The sequence below is a fragment of the Homo sapiens genome, chromosome 3, assembly GCF_000001405.40.
Source record: "Homo sapiens chromosome 3, GRCh38.p14 Primary Assembly".
NCBI lineage: Eukaryota > Metazoa > Chordata > Mammalia > Primates > Hominidae > Homo > Homo sapiens.
Window position 1 is genome coordinate 8593626 of NC_000003.12, and position 16897 is coordinate 8610522.

General features: G+C 45.8%; 1 long non-coding RNA gene across 1 annotated transcript in view; it reads right to left on the reverse strand.

Moving 5' to 3' along the window:
* LOC107986009 (uncharacterized) overlaps positions 1 to 16897 on the reverse strand; it is a 38712-nt gene that overhangs the window by 20394 nt on the left and 1421 nt on the right. The window contains exons 3-4 of the long non-coding RNA XR_001740420.3: positions 15432 to 15967; positions 9619 to 9754 (exon numbers count right to left, since the gene is read on the reverse strand). This is a non-coding gene — a long non-coding RNA (uncharacterized LOC107986009). The remainder of the gene's footprint in view (positions 1 to 9618; positions 9755 to 15431; positions 15968 to 16897) is intronic.

The following is a 16897-nucleotide window of genomic DNA, read 5'->3' on the forward strand; positions in this document are numbered from 1 at the left end:
TCCCTGCTTCATGCCACAACTCACTGCACAGAGCAAGGCAGGCCTCGGCCCACCTGTCGCTGCTTGTCAGGAAACACTGCTGGGCCTCTGGTCTATGGGCCCCAGCTGTCCCAAAGGCAAGGCCTGGAGGCTTTTACTTTTGAAATGCAGCTGCATTTTCCTCTCTACAAAGACTTCCTAACAAAACCTAACAGCAAAGAAAAGCAAACTTACAAAATGTCACCTGCTTGAGAAACACAAATTGGGAATCATTTTGAAAGCATAATTCAAGCACCATATGGAACCTAAATTATTCACATTCTCCAGCATTTTTTCCTTTTTAAAAGAGTCACAGCTTTTTCAAAAGAGCTCATAGTACTGTTAGAGGCAGGGCAGTGAAGTAACAAATGCAACAGTCTACTGTGTACTGGGTACTGCGTTCAGTCCGTTAATCCTCACAGTGATTCTGCAAAATACTACTCCTATTTCACAGATGAGAAAAACTAAGGCCCCGAGAGGCTAAGAAGCTCAAGGCCACACAGCCAGTGACAGGAAGGACCACTGTGCAAACCCCAGACTATCTGATGTTAGAGTCTAGGGTCTCTCCAGATGGTACTGAGAGCTCCCAGCCCTCAGATGGCCTGGTTAAATCTACCTATCACACTGACCTATGGTCACTTGGTGCCCATCAGGCATCATCTCCAAATTCCACACACCTTGAATCCCAAAATGAGCTGGACTGACTTTAAAGTCATCTCTTCAGGGGAACACATTTTCTAAACCAAAGAGCAAGCCCAGGGTCCAACAGACGAACGTTATTCTCCTTCAGGTATAAAAGTCAGTCTGGGAAGTTGACATTTGGATACCAAAGTGTGGTCATTCCAGGGATAGCTCAATGGTTTTTGAAGGCCATGGGGCAGAGCAGCAGGTCTTGGGACAACCCAGCAACTCCATGCTCCCACAGCACCCTGTGTGCCCCTCCAGCCTGCCCCTTACCACAGGCATGGAGGCTAGTGATTGCCATGTGTCTCTCCCGCTGGTCTGTGACATGGAGGACAAGCCAGTGTCTCAGTCGTCTCTGCACCCGGCACCCGGAGTAATATGGTTTGGCTGTGTCCCCATCCAAATCTCATCTTGAATTGTAGCACCTATAATTCCCACTTGTTGTGGGAGGGACCGGGTGGGAGATAATTGAATCATGGGGCTTGTTTCCCCCATACTGTTCTCGTGGTAGTGAATAAGTCTCGTGAGATTTGATGGTTTTATAAGGGCCTTCCCTTTTGCTTGGCTCTCAATCTCTCTTGTCTGCCACCATGTAAGACGTGTCTTCTGCCTTCCACCATGATTGTGAGGCCTCCCCAGCCAGGTGGAACTGTGAGTCCATTAAACTTCTTTTTCTTTATAAATTACCCAGTCTTGGATATGTCTTTATCAGCAGTGTGAGAACAGACTAATACACAGGGCAATGGTGAACACAGAGACCATGCTCAGAGCAAAAAAACTTTTCAATGGAAGGAGGGGAAGGGAAGGAAGGCAGAGAAAGAAGGAAAAGAGGAAGGAAAATAAAGCAGATAAATGTGAGACCTATTGTCCCTCTAGTTATGAACCCACTGAGTTCAGCCTCTGGAAAAGCTTCCACAGGGGAGCTGACCTGCACGAGGCTGGAGGCTCCCCTTTCCTTGCACCTGTCACTCAGGATGCAGCCCTTCCTTGTGACCTCAGCCAGAAGCCCAGAGTCTCCATCACCTGCTAATCAGCCCCAGGGACCCTGTACAAGCAGATGCCCCACTGAACGCCACTGCCTCATGGCTTGCCTCCCTTCTGGCTTCCAGGGCAGCCTGGAGATTGCTAACCTTCTATACAGTGGGCAGCGATCACTAGGAGGTAGCACAGGCTAGCTGTGCACAGGGCATAGGTAGTTCAGCTCATTGTCTCATTGCCTAAGACAAGACACCTCAGCCAGGAGTTGTGTGTAGACACAGAAAATCTAGATCACAACCAGGCTTCCCCTAACACTCTTATGAGTGGGTGAAGAAATGGGAGCTATGTGGCTGTACAACCTGTAATGTGCTGAATGACCACCCCCAAAAGGGTGTTGAGTAACAGCTTCACGCGAGCCTGAAAGGGATGCATGTGCCAGCCCAGACGGCGTGTTTATCAGTGACTTGGGGTAAGGCACACAGCGTGCTCATCAATGGCGTGGGTGGCACTGTGATGAGAAGGGCTGCCAAATGTTGAATGAGAAAATTAGGACCCAAAAATATCCAGGCATCTTGGAACAATATAGCATGGATCCAACAAGGCAAAATTTTAATGGGGACAGATGGTGGAAAGCTCTGTGCTTGGGCCCTGAAATGCAGCTGCCCTAATCCCAGAGGGCGTAGCACAGAGTACTAGCAGCATGTGTGAGGAAGACGTGGGGAGGTTTGTTGCATGTACAGAGTGTGGGGTGTCTGCTAAGCAGAGCTGTGATCGCAGATGTGGGGTGGGGGGTCAGAATAAAGTGAGTGTCCTCCTTTTCCTCGCTCCGATTCGGAGCCGCCAGAGCCCCACCCTTGGAGGAGAGTGAAAAACAGTGGAAAATGGTGAGGAGTGATGGGGACTGAAGCCATGTCTTATGAGCAATGGCTGAAAGTGCTATGTTTAGCATAGAGAAGAAGCTCAGGAGGACATGAGAGCTGCTTTCAAATATCTGAAGGGCTGTCACAAGGAAGAAGAATTCAAACTTTTTCTGTGTGGCTCCACAGGGCGAAGCCAGTGCAATGCCAGTGACGTCAAGGAAGATTTGGGCTATGTAGAAGTCAGCTCGGTACTGACCAGCAGTCAGGGCTGTCAGAGGATAAAATGGGTTGTCTCCAGAGAGACTGAGCTCCCCGTCACTGGAAGTCATCAAGCACAACAGAACGACCACCTCAGAGGGGTACTAAGAAGGTCGTCGCTGGCCAAGATGCTCCCTGTGGGCCCTTTTATCTCCAGGAACTGAGCCTTTTTCCTGGGAGGCCTCAGGAAGGAAACACCGCCTCTAGTCAAGGTGTAGCAAAGCACCTTTTTCTTAAATTCTCCGGCCAACCCCTCTCAACAGCTGCCATCCCACTGACTCCTTCTCCTAAATTAGGCTCCCTGGGGCCTCACACAGGGGTTAGAGCTCAGAGACAAGGGCTCCAGAAAGTAATTAAGTCCATGCTATCATCACTCAACTTGTCCTAAAGAACACCGAAGCCCCAAGGGCAGGTGGCCAAGTTTCCTCAAATTACCATTCTTGTAGCAGATTTTGGCCCCTTGTCCCTGAGGGCCCAGGCCTCAGCAAGGCGACACCTGCCAAATGGCAACCAAAATAGAGCTGAGCCCTGCGACCCAGGCTATCACCCAGAAAAGGGGACGTTTAGTCAAGGACATGGGGAAGTGGCTTCCCGCATCCTTGCCCCTTCTCCCTCCACTGGGGTCTGCAGTTGTTTTCTTCTTAATCAGCCAAACAGTCAGGAATGAGGGACAATCCCAGCCGTGAGATGGAAGTGAGACATGTTCAGATGGGCGAGACTGGGCATGAGTCTTGGGCGTGGGAGAACAGCAGGGCTTCGGAGCACAAGAAGTTCCTGAGAACACCCAATCCCCTTGCTCGGCAGACATGAGCTAGTGCTCGGCAGACATGCTAGGCATTTTGCTATAGGGCAGACTCGGTTCTAATGGTGGGAAAGAAAGGGAATAACAAATGAACAAACGTTCTGTTTTGTGGCATTTGAATACACTGGAGCCCAGAGAGGTTGAGTGACTTGGCCAGGGTCACAGAGCAATGGCAAGGCTAAGGGTCAGACCAGGCTTCCTCTCAGCTTTGGTCAAAGTGTTGTTAGAAATGTCAGCCCCGCTGGGCCCAGAAGCACAAAGGAGGCCCTTGCATCCTCCAGTCTACCAACTCTCTCGTCTCTGGAACCTCTTTTTTTCAGGGAATCAGAGTTTCCTGAGAATAAAAGCTCCTAAGGCAGTAGCCAATACACAGTCTCTGAGTGTCTACAGGAGGGAGGTTGGAACCTCACAGAGTAGACAACACCCAGAAGAGCTTAGGGACTCCAAAGACATTGGCAGTAATGCCTCCTTATCTGTGGTTTTACTTTCCACAGTTTCAGTTACCCTAGGTCAACCACAGTTTGAAAAGATTAAGTAAAAAATTCCAGAAATCAACAATTCATGAATTTTAAATTGCACACCGCCATTCTGAGTAGTATAGTGAAATCTCACACTGTCCCTCTCCATCCCACCTGGGACTTGAATCTTCCCTTTGTCAAGCATATGCACACTGTCTGTGTCACCCACCCTATTATACAATGTGATTGCATAGGGGCCGGGCACGGTGGCTCGTGCCTGTAATCCCAACACTTTGGGAGGCTGAGGCAGGCAGATCACTTGAGGCCAGGAGTTCGAGAGCAACCTGGCCAACATGATGAAACCCCATCTTTACTAAAAATACAAAAATTAGCTGGGTGCAGTGGCGCATGCCTGTAATCCCAGCTACTTGGGAGGCTGAGGCTGGAGAACCGCTTGAACCTGAGAGGGGGAGGTTACAATGAGCCAGGATCACACCACTGAACACTAGCCTGGGAGACAGAGCGAGACTCTGTCTCAAAAAAAAAAAAAAAAAGTGATTGCATAGGAGAAAAACATAGCAAACATAGCATACATAGGATTTGGTACTATCTGTGGTTTCAGGCATCCACAGGGAGTCTTGGAACCTACCCCTCGCAGATAAGGGAGGGTTACTGTGCTTCCTTCCCAAATGTCCCCTGTTGGGATAATTGTAAACATAAAGGACATGGGAAGAAAGATGAAGACATGCGAAAGGAGGAGAAAAGGCAGATGAAGACACTGCCAAAATGGGTGGACCACATCTGAATCCTCACCCAAATAAATCAACTTTAAATAAATATGTTTACCTACCAGAAATGACATAAGGTTCAACCTAATACACTCTGAAGTATTTGTGGATGAAATAACATAATTATAGGATTTCCTTCAAAATAGCCTAACGGGGGTGCCAGAAGAGGGACGTGCTGACAGATGAAATAACCTCAGTTAATAATCGTTGAACTGCTGGCTGAGTACAAAGGGGCCTTGTTATATTTGCTCTTCCCTCTACTGTTGTATACATTTGAAATGTTCCATAATTAAAGTTTGAAAAAATATGTTGCCAATATTTTGAGCATCACTGCTAATGTCACAGCCTAGAAAGAGAATTTTTAAAAGGATGTGAATATTTTGCAAAGGTCAATTTTGGTATCCATAATTATGTTAGTTCTTATTAGTCTTCCTGGAAGTCATTTGGCCAAACTGCTATTGAATGGGACAAGGACTGGGAAAATTACACTCATCAAAATAACCCATCAAAATAATGGCAAAAAAGAAAAACTCAACAAAATAATGACAAAACTGTTTCTCATCCTCACTTCTTTTCCAAGGGACCAATTTACCAGCTTTGCCTCCTTAGTGGGGAGGGTCCTCTGTGGAAGCACCTAGAAGTGGGGAGCGTTTCTTGTCCATTTAATTGCTTCATGGTTATCTCTGAGCTGGGCTATTGCCCCCTTGGCTCCAGTGATGTCACACACAAGTCGACTTTGGAGATTTAAGCAATCCTTCTGCAGTGCCTGGCCCATCCCAAACTCAGCTGCTCGGATGCCTTCTCTAAATAGAAGCCTTGTTTAGTGATGCCTACCCTTTTGCCTGCCTACAGAAGCCAGGCTGAGAGGCCAAGCTGATTAGTTATGAGCTAATTTTTACCTGTGTCCACCTGTTGATGTCCATTTCCACAGGTCCTGAATAGTGTAGTCACGTGGTGTGTAATATGACAGCCTGTTTTTGAAGCAGGACTGTCCATGGTGTAGAGTATCACTGGCCATTCAGGACATGGCTTTCAGTGCTCCACAAATCTAGCATAAAGTAACATTGACTCATACAGTGAAAAATTGACCATATTCTTTTATCACTTCTCCCCAAATCTACCTGGTTACTTCAAGGAGAAAGTCTCACTTTGAGCTAGGAACGTTGGCTTATGCCTGTTATCTCAGCAAAGGTGGGTGGATCGCTTGAGCCTAGGAATTCAAGACCAGCCTGAGCAACATACTGAGACCATATCTCTGCAAAAAATCCAAAAATTAGCTGGACATGGTAGCATGCACCTGTGGATCCAGCTACTCCGGAGACTGAGGTGGGAGGATCACTTGAGCCTGGGAAGTTGAGGCTACAGTGAGCTGAGATTGTGCCACTGCACTCCAGCCTGGGTAGGCAGAACAAGACCCTGTCTCAAGAAAAAAAAAGTCTCTCTTTGTTGCCACTATGTCTTTATCACCTTTCTAACATACTTAATCTCCCTTTTTAGCAAAAACAAAAGTGTTGTCAGGTATCTAACTAAATAGAATAGTTTGGTTTGATTTCATCATATTTAATTCTGTAGCTACTTTCTATTTATAAAAGTAATGTTGGTATCATGTATAAGCATAAGATGTGATACCAGCCAAATGATGTTAGTTCCCATGTATAACCATAAGACAATGTAATAAAACATAAAGTAAATATAATTCAGATATTCTGAAAATTACAAAGAAATAGATTAAACACACAGCTAATGAAGTTTGCATAGGTCCTTCCTGAAGCTGTCCCAGCACCACTCAATAAAAGAGATAGCATACAGGAGAAAAAGCCAGAGTGAAAAAAGAAGGCAACCTTAATTGATTGGGATTAAGTTATCCAACTTTTCAATTCCAAAAAGCACAGGACCATACGAATACATTTTGTATGTTTTTTTTTTTTTCTCAAAAAGGTATCCTGCCATCACCTAGCCTAGAACTTCAGGAATCATCCTTGCCTTTCCCCTCATATCTCACTTATCATCTCCATCCTTCATAGTTATAACCATCATTATCATTACCATCACAATCACCATGCTCACTTTCACTGTCATCATCATCACCATCATCAATGTCATGACTGTCATCACCACCATCATCATTATCACCATCATTATAACCATTATCATCATCATCATCACCATCATCAGTGTCATCATTATCATCACTATCATCAATGTCATTGCTGTCATCATCACCATCATCATCACTATCATTATCATAACCATTATCATCAACATCATAAATATCATCACTGTCATCACCACCATCATCATCACCATCATCATTATCATAACCATTATCATCACTATCAATGATCACTGTCATGATCATCATCATCACCATTATCACCAACAATAGCCAATAGTATTTACTGAATGCTTCTTATGAACCAGGCATTGTGCTTCACCTCCATTTTAGTTATTTCAGTGAATCCCTCACAAGCAGAGATGCTGTTATCCAGTCTGTCTTACAGAGGATGAAACAGATTTGGAGAGGTTAAATAAACTGCCCATGTTTACACACCAGGTAAGCAGCAGGGTCAGGATTTGAACCCTGGTCTGTGGTTAGAGTCCAAGCTATTAATCACTACACCCTCCTGCCTTTAGTTGAATCACTGACCTACCTTAGACTTTCAGTATTTCTTTCCTCGACTTCAATACTACCTAACCAACCTGCTGTACGCCTATCTCCTCCTTCTCATATGGGAAGTCAGTCATTCTTTCTAAGCCATCAGCACAGTCTATATAACACTCAAATCTTTCCCCACCTAAAATCTTTCAAAGGGGCTTCACCCACTAAATAGTATAAACTCTTTGCACCTATTAGGATTTCTTGATGGAAAGCAACAGGAAAAACTCTGAGTAATTTAAGAAAGGAAAAAAAGGCAAAGACAGGGAATTTATTGGAAGGATCCCAGGTCGTTCATTTAAGCTGAGCCTGGAGCCTAAGATATGGTGAGTACTCATCATAAGTTTGTTAAGTGGATAAATGAATGAAAGCAGAAGTGAAGGAAGGGGGCAGGCTTGGTGGACCCCACTGATTTCTAAGCAGAACTATAGAGATCCACAAAATTGCTTCAGAAACCTGTAGTGGATGAGACTCTGGGCCACACCTACCGCCTCTCACTACTTCCATCTGTTTATGAATTGAGAAGATTTGTGTAGCCAGGCACAGTGGCTCAAGCCCGTAATCCCAGTACTTTGGGAGGCTGTGTTGGATGGATTACCCAAGCTCAGGAGTTTGTGACCAGCCTAGGCAACACGATGAAACCCTGTCTCTACCAAAAATACAAAAAATTATCTGAGTGTGGTGGCACACGCCTGTGGTCCCAGCTACATGGGAGGCTGAGGTGGAAGGATCACTTGAGCCTGGGAGGCAGAGGTTGCAATGAGCTGAAATGGCCCCACTGCACTTCAACTTGGGTGACAGAGTGAGACCCCCTCTCAAAAGGTAAAAAAAGGGAAGATTTGTTTAAGACACATTTTCTAAGGGAGTTTACCTCTTTAAAATCATGGGTAAAGTAAGTAAAGCACCAGCCTGGAATTTGGAGGTATGCATTGTTTTCCTGGTTTTACCACTCGCCAAGTGAATGCTTTGGGGCTAGACATGGCCCCTCTCTCAGCCTCAGTTTCCACATCTATAAGATGGTCACATCCAGCAACTCTAAGTTGCCCACACTCAGGGAGAAGAGCAATGCAAGATGACTACATAAATACTGGATAAGCCCAAACACAAGCCCTGAAGATCTACTTTCTTAATTGCATTTTTAAAGTTAGTATTTAAATGAGCTATACCCAGTCACAGGCAATGGTGAGGCCCCAGGGTAGTGATGGGGAGAGGGCCTTGTCCAGGGTTTCCATAGCTACTTCTAATAATCCACTAAATGCATTTCTAGCATCGGGATAAGTAGTAGGAAGATGAAAATTAAAATAGGTAAGAGGTGGGATTTATCCACCATCCAGCAACTTCATAATGCAATAGAACATAAATTTGGGATGGATTTGTGTGTGTGTGCATGTGTGTGTGTGCACACTCGTGCACATGGGTAAATGTGTGCTCGGTGGAAAATGCCCAAGAAAACTTTTCCAACATTAACCCACACAGAGGAGGAAGCTGAGGCTCAGACAGGCTAAGTTTCCACTTCTTTTACTACTGTTGACTTTGTACTAATGGTCTCCACAGGCCAGTGTCTCCAGGTCTCCACATCTAGAAAATATTTACCCTTCTGATATGGTTTGGCTCTGTGTCCCACCCAAATCTCATCTTGAATTGCACTCCCGTAATTCCCACGTGTTGTGGGATGGACCCAGTGGGAGACAGTTTGAATCATGGGGGTGGTTTTCCCATACTGTTCTCGTGGTAGTAAATAAGTCTCATGAGATCTGATGGTTTTATCAGGGGTTTCCGTTTTTGCATCTCCCTCATTTTCTCTTGCCACCACCATGTAAGAAGTGCCTTTTGCCTCTCACCATGACTCTGAGGCCTCCCCAGCCATGTGGAACTGTAAGTCCAATTAAACCTTTTTTTCTTCCCAGGCTCGGGTATGTCTTTATCAGCAGCGTGAAAATGGACTAATACACCTTCCATCAACATCCCATACATAAATACTTTCTAAATCACACCCTGCTCACTTCTCCTCCAAATGGATCTGGCTGCCCAAGAAGTCTCTGAGAGGAGGCTGTGGTGCCCTCTGAATTCATGTGAGGCAGATGCTGATATGTTCATCCACGTGAACTCAACTTACAGTTTTCGCTCTAAGTGGGTTGGCACCAACACACCATCGACCTGCCAAAACTCTCCTATGTTCTTTGGACTCAAGCCCAGGGTCATCACATCACTTTCCAGGGAGTGGTGGAATTGGCCCCAGAGGGCAGAAACATCTGGAAAGTAGAAAGTAGGCACATATTACTCTTGGAACCCTCACGCACACCGTGCGCTCACTAATCGGCATGGGGTCACCTTTAAGACCAATGGAAGTGAAACCCGGAAGCAAGGCAAGGCCTGGGGGAGGGGCTGGGATCTGGAGTGGAGCCAATGCCTGGAAGCAAGCCCCTACTAAACTCCATGCATTGAGACACACACTGTCCTAGGGGACTGGCAGGAGAAATGTTTTTAGCACACTAAGTCCTCACTTAACGTCTTTGATAGGATCTCTGAAACTGAGATTTTCAGCAAAACAACATGTAACAAAACCAGTTTGACCATGGGCTAATTGATATAAACAAGAGTTAAGTTCCTATGGCATAATTCTGGTCACAAAATCATTCCCAACTTCTAAAGAAAGACCCAAAACACTCTAATAGCAAACACTGAAATAAATGTAGGATACACATATATCTAATAAATATTAATAAAAACAAGTAAGAATTATTTACTAAACTTTTGGTGAATCAGTGAGTGAGTTAAATCAAGGAATAAATATATGCAAAGCAAACATTGTCAGAAGCACCTCCTACCACCACTCAGTTCAAACACCAACAGTCACAAATACGGTGGCTTGCTCAGCGCTTTCGTACCAAATTGTTTATTGTTGTGCATTTGTAGGATTATTGTGGACTTTATGAATTATTATTTTATAATAATTCATGCTCATTCATTTATTCATTTTCCAACTTGCTTACTCCAGGTCAGGGTCGTGGGTGGCTAGAGCCGGTCCCTGTAGCTCAGGGCACAAGGTGGGAACCCACCCTGGCCAGGACACCATCCTACCTTGGGACACACTCACTCACACACCCACACAGACTCAAACTGGGACAACTGAGGGCGCCCATTCACCTGCAGCATATCTTTGGGATGTGGGATGAGACTGGGGTACCCAGAGAAAACCTGCGCAGACACAGGGGAACGTACAAACTCCATACACACACAGTGGCCCCAACCGGGAATGGATTTTTTTTTCATCAACATTACAACAAAACAGTGTTGAACAAAATGACCATATTTGAGGGCCTGCTGTACCAATTTCCTGGAAAGCAAGTCATCAATATTTATCAGGACTCTGAAAAATGTTCATGTTTTCTATCATGCTGTAATTCCACTTTTAGGACTCTAAATGAAGGAAATAATTGTACGTGAACACAAATATGTAAGTACAGGGTTTGTATACATTAGTTACATACATATATAAGTATGTATCATTAACTATAATAGCAAAAAATTAAAAATTAGAGACCAAAAAAGTAAATGCCACTATTATGGGAATGATTACGAGTTGGTTATATAAACAAATTATGGCAATCTATGTGACAAAATAAGGAAGTTCTAAAAATCACGTTTACAAAGAATGCTTACTCATAATGCTAAGAAAAAAATGTAGAAAACAAAGTTATAAGAAGGGAATGACTGCAGCTATATTGAAGAAAAAAGCCTGGAAGGAAATATGGTAAATATGAGTTGTGTCTAAGTGGTAAGATTCTGGGTGATTTTTACTTTATGCCATATTTTTAAAATATTTTGTAATGAATCTGAATTACTTTTGTAATCAGAAAAACAGAGAAACATCTTTTCAATCTCAGCACCCCAGAACCCTCCTAGCTGACTTGCCTAGACATGGCCTATAAACACTCGGGCTCAGCATCTGATCTCGGACCAAGGCATGTTTTTACGTTTCTATGGCTTTCTCAATGCTGCTGTCTACTTGACCTGTGACCTTGAACCTCTTATAACCTCAGTTTCCACATCAGCAAAATGGTCACATCAGCAGTTCTCAATCTCCTACCTTCTGTGTCTTCAGATCCTAGTTGTTCCCAGTCTCAGTTAATGAAAGACCTCTCCATAATGGCCTAAGGGGCCCTAGCCTGGGTGAGCTCCTGGGACTGCTCTGATATTTTTTTTTCACACTGAAGTATGTAGATTTTTGTTGTTGTTGTTGTTTATATACTTTAAGTTCTATGGTGCATGTGTACAACGTGCAGGTTTGTTACATATGTATACATGTGCTGTGTTGGTTTGCTGCACCCATTAATTCTTCATTTACATTAGGTATTTCTCCTAATGCTATCCCTCCCCCACTCAGCCTCGAAGTTTGGAGTTGCAAACGGGAATGGCTTCAAGGGGCAGCCAGGCTGCTGGGATATTCCCAGACAGCTCCCAAATGTGTTTGCTTTAACCTACAAGCCAACTCTTCCCTAGTGTGAACTTGCTGCTCAGCCGCTCACCCAGGACCCAGAACGCATGTCCTAGACTGGCTTCCATGAGAAAAGCACTCATCCCAAGTGGGTCTGTCAGAGTCCTAGCAGGAAACAGCCATCTCACTCAAACCAGGATTATTTGGGGGTGTGTTCAATGGAGGGAAATTTTGTCAAGGTATGGGCAAGGCTTATAGAAACCCCAAGGGATTATGTGACTCCCTAGAGCTATTAACAGCAGGGGCCAAGGAAGGAGCAGCTTCAGGAACCAGGAGACAGAGAAGGCTGTGGAGAAAGGCCGCTCCATCACGGCTGAGGTCTTCTGTCGAGAGACCCAACCAGCCCAAGGCAATGCAGCAGTTGGGGGATAGGGAAACTAGTATCCCCAGCCTCACTTTTCTCCCTCCCAGGCTTAAATGAAAGCTCCTTGTTGGCCAAAGCCAAGTAAAGCCCCCAACTTAGGCAGTTTGGGCAGCTACAGAAGAATACCATAGACTAGGTGCCTTATAAACAACAGAAATTTATTTCTCCCAGTCCGGAAGCTGGAAGTCCGAGATCAAGGTGCTGGCAGATCTGGTGTCTAGGAAGGGCCTGCTTCCTGGTTTGCAGATGGTCACCTTCTTGTTGTATCCCCAAGTGATGGAGAGTAGAGAGCAAGATCAAACCCTTGCATCTCTTCTTATAAGGGCACTAATCCCGTTCATGAAGGCTCCATGCTCATGACCTGATTACTCCCCAAAGTAAAGTGCATTCATATTCAGGGTTAGGATTTCAACCTACGAATATTGGTGGGACACATTCAGGGTATTGTGCTCCCCATTGGCCAAACCCTCAAAAAAGCCAGAGGGCAAGGAGGTCCATGCAGGACAGCCTCCCAGGGCCCAGTCTAGAGTGGAGAGGGGTCCGGAGAGGATCCAGAGAAGCAAAAAGAAAAGATTCATCCACCAAGCATTTGAGGATTTCTCAACAGTTTCCCCTGACAACGTGGGCAGGTCCATGTCACCCTGCACCCAAGATCTCCCTTGAAAGTTCTCCACCCGGCACATGGGCATGGGCATTCCCCAGGCCCTTCTCTGCAGTGCTGGCTTTCTCTCTCTCTCCTGCCACTCCTTCACACAGTGGTCAGTTTGCCCAATCCAATCACTCCCTTCCCGATGTCAAACTTATCTCTCCTTAATTATGCAGAGTAATTTAGAGAGCATCCTGCCCCCTGTGCCAGAGGATCACCACAGTGTCTCTTCCCGGCCAGACAGTGCTCTCCCGAGAGGCAATCTAGCACGTAGCTTTCTCATCTCATCTCACATTTTTGGCATTCACATTGCACGACTCAAACTGATTATTAGCTGCCAAACCTTGTTTGAGGAGTGTTGCAAAAATAATTTTCCCTAATTGATCTGGATAAACATGTGTCTGTCAATATAAATCCCATCTCTTCATGGATGGTTTGCTGCATCTGCAGCTATCTGCTTCAGGGCAAAACTAAAGAGGATTTTCTGCAGCTGTAAGGGGCAGCCGCTGAGTGGATCCTTCTTTGAGAAAACTTTCTCTGAGCCAAGCTGGAGGAATGAGAAGAATAACCAGATGCTTCGAGCCAGGAAGATTGTCATGTTTGTAAAATCAGATTGGATTTGTTCCCCTGCAAGAATTTGGACTCCCTGTGCCCACCAATGACCACAGAGCCAACGCCACCTGCCCATTGCTGCCCAATGGGCAGACCACACTGGCTTCTGCAGCCCGGGCTGTCCTCATTCACTCTCTTTTTCTCAGGGGAGAGTCTGCACTCTGTACCACCTGGAGAGAGTATGTCCCTTAGAAATAACAGGCATCTTGTCTTCCTCAACAGCCTCCCTGACTGTGAGGCAGGGCGATCAGCAGTGGCTGCTGGGGGCACCAGGAAGGAAGGAAAGTTGGGAGCCTGAGTGTCCTGCCCAGTTTCAGAAAGAACTCAGTCCAGTCTAGACAGAGAATCTCCATTCCAGCCCTTGCATCCTCAGAGGAAACCCTCCAGCCTGGTTTCTTATCAGGTTCACATGTGACATTAAACAGGTCCAAGCTTGCAGTCTTACAAGGAAAGTGGTTGGCTGGGGACACCCGGTGTCCAGTGTGTGCATAAACACTGCCCTGGGTGTTGGTGGTTTTGCTGCCAGGATTCCCCTCCGCTTCTGGAAATGGCACCTGAATTTTCCTGCGGGAAGCGGGGTTTGCCCTCTCCTCAACCAGGATGGGTTTTGATGGGGCAGTTCCCATCCCCTGGACCTGGGCCTGGATAATCAGCTTATTTCAGCACAGGGCCATAGAGACTGGTGTTAGGCTGGCTCAAGCCAGGGTGTTTGGCCCAAGGAGTCTCAGTCCTGGGGCCTTTTGTAGAGCAACCAGGAAAGTCATGAGCTCTTGGCTGCAGGAATGCTGAGAAAGTCATAGCCAGCCTGAAACTAAGGGTGTACCTCTTGCCATTAGCAGGATAGGGAAACGTAGGAGACAGGTAGAAAGAAACATGTTCAACAACATTGCCTGAACCTCTGGGAACACCCCAGCCCAGAGCCAGAACTACACCAGACTTGTCGGTTCTGTGTGCCAGTAAACTGCTTCACCCAGCGTGGGTTGGGTTTCCGTTACTTTCGACCAAGTGTCCTAATGCCCACGTGTACATCTATGTTTTCCTTCTGCTGTTTCACTATTTGTTGGTGGGGTCAGTGACATCTATCTGTCCTCTGTACCCCTACACACCTCCCTCTGTCTGCCTCTGAATGGTCCCGCCCGTCTAGAGCCAGCTGTGTGTTGGGAGGCGAGATCTCAGGCTCAGCCATACCATGTACAGGTGACTGCCTGCTGGCAGGTCTGACATGAGAGTGTGGAAGTGGGGCTCAGAGGCTGCAGGGTCCAGTGCTGGGAGACGCACTCAGAAGGTTCACACCGAGACTGTGCAGTGAAAGGGAGGCAGCGATGGGTTCTAAGGCATGGCAAGTTCACCAGGAGGCACCGATTACAAGACGGGGTGGAGGCCACAGTGAGAGGCTGGCCCTTATGCACAGTTGGGACTGCCAGGGTGGCCAGGGAGGTGAAGACGGAGAAGGACGAAGCCTGCTCTGTGGAGGCACTGGGTGCTTCTTGGCATACCCCAAGCCTCCTCTGGATTTAAAGGGACTCTTTCTTTGATTCCATACTGGAGAACCAGAAGACAGAAGACCCTGGTCCGGCCCAACCTGCTGCATGGCTTTGGGCAGGATGCTCAACCTCTTTGAACCTCAGGTTTCTCATCTTTGAAATGGGTTTCAAAAGAGACGGGCCTCAAAGGACTCCTAAAAGTACGAAACTGAAACGATAGGTGGAATAGAATTGTGTAAACAGGCAGTGTCTCAGTCTGTCTGGGCTTTGATATTGAAGTACTATAGACTGGGTGGCTCATAAACCACAGAAATTCATTTCTCACCGTTCTGAAGGCTGGAAGTCCGAGATCAGAGTGCCAGCATGGTTGAGTTCTGGTGAGGACCCTCTTCCAGGTTGCAGATGGCTGACTTCTCCTGTATCCTCTCCTGGTGGAAAGAGCTAGCTCTCTGGCCTCTTCTTAGGAAAGTTGTTACTAATCCCATTCATAAGAGCTCCACTCTAGTGACTTAATCACCTCCGACAGGCCCCACGTCCTAATGCCATCACCTTGGAGACATGACTGCTGGGAGGACACTTTCAGACCCTAGCAGGCAGTTAGTAGCTGGTGTGGTTTAATAGGCTGTGTTCCTCCATAAGAGAAAGATGGTTCAAAAAAGGCTTTAATGCCTTATCCTTTAGTAAGAATTCACGGTTGTTAGGAGAAAGGATGTAGGATTTTCAGACCAAACGTTTTGAATTTCAATTACGCCTTTCATACTTCCTCTTTTGGAAACGTGGAACAAGACATTTTGCTTTTTTTATATCCATCTGTTTCAACATTTTTCAAATGAGAAAAGGAATCCCAGCTTTCCTCCACATCTGGGGTGGGGATTAAATGAGGGAGAAAGAACTTTGTAATAACAACAAAAATATAAAGTACCCCTTAATGAGCACTTACTTTGTGCGAGGAATTATTTCATTTATGCATCTAAGTCCCACAATGACTCCACACTGTAAAAGTAACAGTAATAATGACAATATGTGACATTGGACTTAGCCGGGCCTGGTGGCACACACCTGTCATCCCAGCTACTTGGGAGGCTGAGGCAGGAGGATTGCTTGAGTCCAGGAGTTTGAGGCTACAGTGAGCCCTGTCGTGCCATTGCACTACAGCCTGGACAAAAGTGAAATCCTATCTCAAAAAAATGAATTAGTAGTAATAATAATTATTGAGTATTTAGTATGTGATATGGTTTTTGGCTGTGTCCCCACCCAAATCTCACCTTGAATAGTAATAGTCCCTACATGTCAAGGGTGGGGTCAGGTGGAGATAATTGAAACATGAGGGCAGCTTCCCCACACTCTTTTTCGTGGTAGTGAATAAGTCTCACGAGATCTGATGGTTTTATAAATGGGAGTTCCCCTAACACATGCCCTCTTACCTGCTGCCATGTAAGACATGTCTTGCTTCCCCTTTGCCTTCTGCCATGATTGTGAGGCCTCCCCAGCCATGTGGAACTGTGAGTTAATTAAACCTCTTTCCTTTATAAATTACGCAGTCTCCGGTATGTCTTTACTAGCCGAGTGAGAACAGATTAATACAGTATGTGCCGGGCTGTGTTCTAAGAGCCTTCCGTTAATTACGTATCTCTAGTCCTCACAACAGGTCTGGGAGGAGTAGGTACTCTTAATACGATCATTTTGCAGATGAGCAGACTAAGTTCGCAGAGATTGATGAGATGGTCTCAGGGCTAGGGTGGGGCTTAGCTAAGATTTATTCAAAGGCAAAAGTTGTTTTACAATTAATCA